This window comes from Homo sapiens, chromosome 1 (assembly GCF_000001405.40).
Source record: "Homo sapiens chromosome 1, GRCh38.p14 Primary Assembly".
NCBI classification, from domain to species: Eukaryota; Metazoa; Chordata; class Mammalia; order Primates; family Hominidae; genus Homo; species Homo sapiens.
Genome location: NC_000001.11, coordinates 168,544,349 through 168,551,384, shown reverse-complemented (window position 1 = coordinate 168,551,384; position 7,036 = coordinate 168,544,349).

Here is a 7,036-nt window from a genome sequence, read left to right as displayed (position 1 = left end):
GGGAGGATGAGATATTGGGGAGGGGGTAATTGAGATTTTAGATAGGGTAGCTGGAAAACAGGCATCACTGAGAAGATGACTTTAGAGAAAAGAACTAGAGAGAATGGGGGAGTTAGCCACACAGCTATCTAGAGGAGGAGCACTCCAGGAATGCAAAGGAAACAGCAAGTTCAAAGGCCTTGAGGCAAAAATGTGCCAGATGTATTCAAGAAATAGTCAAGATGTCCAAAGTAGGTGGTTTGAGAAATCAAAGGAGAGGAGGGGTAAAAAATGAAGTCAGAGAGATGACGGGGAGCAAGGCCATTCTAGCTCTTATAGATTGTTGATAAGACTTTGGCTTTTGCTCTGAGTGAGAAATGAAGACATTGGGAAAATGTGTGAGGAGGTGTAATACAATCTGACCTATACTTCAACGGGTTTATCTGGCTGCTGTGCTAATAGTAGATTGCAGAGGGCTAAGATAGACACAGGAATACCACTTAGGAGGGTATTACCTCCTATTGAACCAGAGAGCTCAATAGGAAGGCTCAAACGCTGGTTTATTTTGAAGGTAGAACTGACATGATTTGCTGACAATCTGGGTATAGAATGTTAGACAATGAGGAGAGACCAAGGCTAGGATGAGATCAAGGCTTGGATGAGACCAAGGCTTTTGATGTGAGCACCTGGAAGAAAGGTGTTGCTATTTTTTTTTTAAATTATACTTTAAGTTCTAGGGTACATGTGCACAATGTGCAGGTTTGTTATATATGTATACACGTGCCATGTTGGTGTGCTGCACCCATTAACTTGTCATTTATATTAGGTATATCTACTAATGCTATCCCTCCCTCCTACCCCCACCACACGACAGGCCCTGGTGTGTGATGTTCCGCACCCTGTGTCCAAGTGTTCTCATTGTTCAATTCCCACCTATGAGTGAGAACACGCGGTGTTTGGTTTTCTGTCCTTGCGATAGTTTGCTGAGAATGATGGTTTCCACCTTCATCCATGTCCCTACAAAGGACATGAACTCATCATTTCTTATGGCTGCGTAGTATTCCATGGTGTATATGTGCCACATTTTCTTAATCCAGTCTATCATTGATGGACATTTGGGTTGGCTCCAAGTCTTTGCTATTGTGAATAGTGCCACAATAAACATACGTGTGAATGTGTCTTTTAGCAGCATGATTTATAATCCTTTGGGTATATACGCAGTAACGGGATAGCTGGGTCAAATGGTATTTCTAGTTCTAGATCCTTGAGAAATCGCCACACTGTCTTCCACAATGGTTGAACTAGTTTACAGTCCCACCAACAGTGTAAAAGTGTTCTTATTTCTCCACATCCTCTCCAGCACCCGTTGTTTCCTGACTTTTTAATGATCGCCATTCTAACTGGTGTGAGATGGTATCTCATTGTGGTTTTGATTTGCATTTCTCTGATGGCCAGTGATGATGAGCATTTTTTTGTGTGTCTGTTGGCTGCATAAATGTCTTCTTTTGAGAAGTGTCTGTTCATCTCCTTTGCCCACTTTGTGATGGGGCTGCTTGATTTTTTCTTGTAAATTTGTTTAAGTTCTTTGTAGATTCTGGATATTAGCCCTTTGTCAGATGGGTAGATTGTAAAAATTTTCTCCCATTCTGTAGGATGCCTGTTCACTCTGATGGTTCTTTTGCTGTGCAGAAGCTCTTTAGCTTACTTACATCCCATTTGTCTATTTTGGCTTTTGTTGTCATTGCTTTTGGAGTCTTAGTCATGAGGTCTTTGCCCATGCCTATGTCCTGAATGGTATTGCCTAGATTTTCTTCTAGGGTTTTTATGGTTTTAGGTCTAACATTTAAGTCTTTAATCCAACTTGAATTAATTTTTGTATAAGGTGGAAGGAAGGGATCCAGCTGCAGCTTTCTACATATGGCTAGCCAGTTTTCCCAGCACCATTTATTAAACAGGGAATCCTTTCCCCATTTCTTGTTTTTGTCAGGTTTGTCAAAGATCAGATGGTTGTAGATGTGTGGTATTATTTCTGAGGGTTCTGTTCTGTTCCACTGGTCTATATCTCTGTTTTGGTACCAGCGCCATGCTGTTTTGGTACCAACGCCATGCTGTTTTGGTTACTGTAGCATTGTAGTATAGTTTGAAGTCAGGGAGTGTGATGCCTCCAACTTTGTTCTTTTGGCTTCGGACTGTCTTGGCAATGCAGGCTGTTTTTTGGTTCCATATGAACTTTAAAGTAGTTTTTTCCAATTTTGTGAAGAAAGTCATTGGTAGCTTGATGGGGATGGCATTGAATCTGTAAATTACCTTGGGCAGTATGGCCATTTTCATGATATTGATTCTTCCTATCCATGAGCATGGAATGTTCTTCCATTTGTTTGTATCCTCTTTTATTTCATTGAGCAGTGGTTTGTAGTTCTCCTGGAAGAGGTCCTTCACATCCCTTGTAAGTTGGATTCCTAGGTATTTTATTCTCTTTGAAGCAATCGTGAATGAGAGTTCACTCATGATTTGGTTTTCTGTTAGTCTGTTATTGGTGTAGAGGAATGCTTGTGATTTTTTGCACATTGATTTTGTATCCTGAGACTTTGCTGAAGTTGCTTATCAACTTAAGGAGATTTTGGGCTGAGACAATGGGGTTTTCTAGATATACAAGCATGTCATCTGCAAACAGGGACAATTTGATTTCCTCTTTTCCTAATTGAATACCCTTTATTTCTTTCTCCAGCCTGATTGCCCGGCCAGAACTTCTAACACTATGTTGAATAGGAGTGGTGAGAGAGGGCATCCCTGTTTTGTGCCAGTTTTCAAAGGGAATGCTTCCAGTTTTTACCCATTCAGGATGATATCGGCTATGGGTTTGTCATAAATAGCTCTGATTATTTTGAGATACATCCCATCAATACCTAGTTTATTGAGAGTTTTTAGCATGAAGTGCTGTTGAATTTTGTCGAAGGTCTTTTCTGCCTCTATTGAGATAATCATGTGGTTTTTTTCTTTGGTTCTGTTTATATGCTGGATTACTTTTATTGATTTGCGTGTGTTGAACCAGGCTTGCATCCCAGGGATGAAACCAGTTTGATTGTGGTGGATAAGCTTTTTGATGTGCTGCTAGATTCAGTTTGCCAGTATTTTGTTGAGGATTTTTGCATCGATGTTCATCAGGGATATTGGTCTAAAATTCTCTTGTTTGTTGTGTCTGTGCCAGGCTTTGGTATCAGGATGATGCTGGCCTCATAAGATGAGTTAGGAAGGATTCCCTCTTTTTCTATTGATTGGAATAGTTTCAGAAAGAATGGTACCAGCTCCTCCTTCTACCTCTGGTAGAATTCAGCTGTGAATCCCTCTGGTCCTGGACTTTTTTTGATTGGTAGGCTATTGATTATTGCCTTAATTTCAGAGCCTATTATTGGTCTATTCAGGGATTCAACTTCTTCCTGGTTTAGTCTTGGGAGGGTGTATGTGTCAAGGAATTTATCCATTTCTTCTAGATTTTCTAGTTTATTTGCATAGAGGTGTTTATATTATTACCTGATGGTAGTTTGTATTTCTGTGGGATCAGTGGTGATATCCCCTTTATCATTTTTTATTGCATCTATTTGATTCTTCTCTCTTTTCTTCTTTATTGGTCTTGCTAGCAGTCTATCAGTTTTGTTGATCTTTTCAAAAAAACAGCTCCTGGATTCATTGATTTTTGAAGGGTTTTTTATGTCTCTATCTCCTTCAGTTCTGCCCTGATCTTGTTATTTCTTGCCTTCTGCTAACATTTGAATGTGTTTGCTCTTGCTTCTCTATTTCTTTTAATTGTGATGTTAGGGGGTCAATTTTAGATCTTTCCTGCTTTCTCTTGTGGGCATTTAGTGTTATCAATTTCCCTATACACACTTTTTTAAATGTGTCCCAGAGATTCTGGTATGTTGTTTCTTTGTTCTCATTGGTTTCAAAGAACATCTTTATTTCTGCCTTCATTTCGTTATGTACCCAGTAGTCATTCAGGAGCAGGTTGTTCAGTTTCCATGTAGTTGAGCGGTTTTGAGTGAGTTTCTTAATCCTGAGTTCTAGTTTGATTGCACTGTGGTCTGAGAGACAGTTTGTTATAATTTCTATTCTTTTACATTTGCTGAGGAGTGCTTTACTTCCAATTATGTGGTCAATTTTGGAATAAGTGCGATGTGGTGCTGAGAGGAATGTATATTCTGCTGATTTAGGGTGGAGGGTTCTGTAAATATCTATTAGGTCCACTTGGTGTAGAGCTGAGTTCAATTCCTGGATATCCTTATTAACTTTCTGTCTCGTTGATCTGTCTAATGTTGACAGTGGGGTGTTAAAGTCTCCCATTATTATTGTGTGGGAGTCTAAATCTCCTTGTAGGTCTCTGAGGACTTGCTTTTTGAATCTGTGTGCTCCTGGATTGGGGGCATATATATTTAGGATAGTTAGCTCTTCTTGTTGAATTGATCCCTTTACCATTATGTAATGGCCTTCTTTGTCTCTTTTGATCCTTGTGGGTTTAAAGTCTGTTTTATCAGAGACTAGGATTGCAACCCCTGCTTTTTTTTGTTTTCCATTTGCTTGGTAGATCTTCCTCCATCCTTTACTTTGATCCTATGTGTGTCTCCGCATGTGAGATGGGTCTCCTGAATACAGCACACTGACGGGTCTTGACTCTTTATCCAATTTGCCAGTCTGTGTCTTTTAATTGGAGCATTATGCCATTTACATTTAAGGTTAATATTGTTATGTGTGAATTTGATACTGTCATTATGACGTTAGCTGGTTATTTTGCTTGATAGTTGATGCAGTTTCTTCCTAGCATTGGTGGTCTTTATAACTTGGCATGTTTTTACACTCTTTTGCCCATTTTTAAATTGTGTTGTTTTCTTGCTAATGAGTTCCTTGAGTTCTTCATATATTTTGCATATTAATTCCTTATCAGATGTATAGTTTGTAAATATTTTCTCCCGTTTCATAAGCGGTCTTCTACCTCTGTTGATTATTTCCTTTGCTGTGCAGAGGCTTTTTAGTTAGACGTAATTCTATTTGTCTGTTTTTGCCTTTGTTTCCTTTATTTGCTTAGACCAATGTCATGAAGCATGGCTTTATGTTTTTAGATGGTCATCTTTCACTTAATGCACAATCATTGTAATTTTGGCGTTTTAAAAATAATTCATTTATTTAAAAACTAATTGTTGAGCAATTATTACGTAACAGGCTTTCTGCAAGTGCCAGGGATCCAGAGATAACAAGGGAATCTCCTACTCTCAAAGAGTCTGCCATCTAGTGGGAGACGCAGGAATGTAATTGAGTAGGAGAACACAATGAGATTCGTTGCAGAACAGCCATGAGAACAGAACAAAGTTCTAAGAGAGCATAAAGGGGTGGCACAACTTAATTTTATCAAAAAAATTCAGGAAAACTTATACAGAGAGGAGGAGTTTACAAGTAACTATGTAGGGAGCTGTCATGGGTATTCCAGTTAAAGGAAACATGTGAGGAGCATAAAAGAGGCTGGCCCATTGGGTTGGCTGCACATGTATGTGTTTGTTAAGGTTTGGGAGTGTGTGAGTGAATGGTGGAAGGTGAGTCTGAAAGGAAAGCAGTACTAGATCTTGAGCATTCTTATATATCACAATGAAAGATTTGAAATACATCCTGTAGGCATTGGAAGTTAGCAAAGAGGTTCTCAGTAGGGAAATGGCATGATTAGATTGAGGCTTTACAGTGATTACCCTGGCAAAGCTGCAGAGAACAGACTGAGAGGAGGCCCTGGTCTGGGTAACCAGTTAGTCCACTGTAATTGGCCTAACATTTGAGCAGTGTGGGAAGAAAGGAGGACACATCTCAAAGAACTACCTAGAAGGTATACTTAGTCCAGTTTGGTTGAGAATGACATGTAGGTGGATAGCAATGAGTCTAAGATGATCCCTATATATCAGTATTTGGAAATTAGATGGAAGAGAACACATTGCTCCATGCTAAGGACTAATATGAGGAGAAGCAGTTTGAATAGAAGATGTGTCCAGTGTTCAAGGAGTGATTGTGCAGTAAGGTAGAGATCATTAAAGAGCCAGTTTGAAGTTTAGAATGAAGTCTGGGTGAAAAATCAAATGCGATTAGTGGGAAGTCTCTTAGAGGTTAACCTATACTTTTTATGAAAACATAGGAATTTATTTTCATATTCCTAATAGCAAAGGACCTTTAACTACACATATATTTAATAAATACATTTTATAGATACCTATGTAAAATAAAGAACAACCACCACACAACAAACTCAGTGGCAGAAAAGTTCCAGTGCAATCAGTATATTTAAATTCTACTGGGAGTATTGCAAATCAAAATTACATTTTGGGAGACTATATGGCAATATATAATAAGAGCTATAAAGATGATCATATCATTTTTCCCAGTAATCCTACTCCTGGTTATTAAAGGGAAGTAATTCAGTGTATATTAATGAAATCGACCTTATAGTTCTGATCTTTATAATAAGTTATAAGAAAATGGTTTAATTTGTATGTGTATATATTTACTCGAAGTAGAAATATGAAGGCTAAAAAAATGGGAAGATATTTAAATTGGTGTTAAAACAGCATTTAAAATTACCACAATTATGAGAACACATGTATGCCAATGCAGATTCACTGGAAAAATATTGAAAATGAAAACTGTCAGATGGTAAGATTATAATTTTATTTCTTTTTTAATTTGAAATAAATTGGTACAGCACAGCTTTTCAAAAGCTTCTATAAATGTGTATGTTAAGTTGTAATAAAGCAAACACATGCATGTAGACATGCTTAAACAGTTATTTAATTGTTTCTTGGGTACCTGGGGAGATGGGGTGAAGAAAGGGGGGTGACTTGAATGAAGGTGGAGGAGAAAAATGAGAACCAAGAAAGCAAAGGATCGAGAAGCTCAGTGTGGCAGCAGCCTCTCTTCCCCTCCTGAGAGAGTCAAAGGGTGGCATCAGGGACTCATGATCCATGGTTGTGGAAGCCTCATGTCACACTGGATGTCACATGAGGTGGGATGGAACACAGTGACCACCCCACCT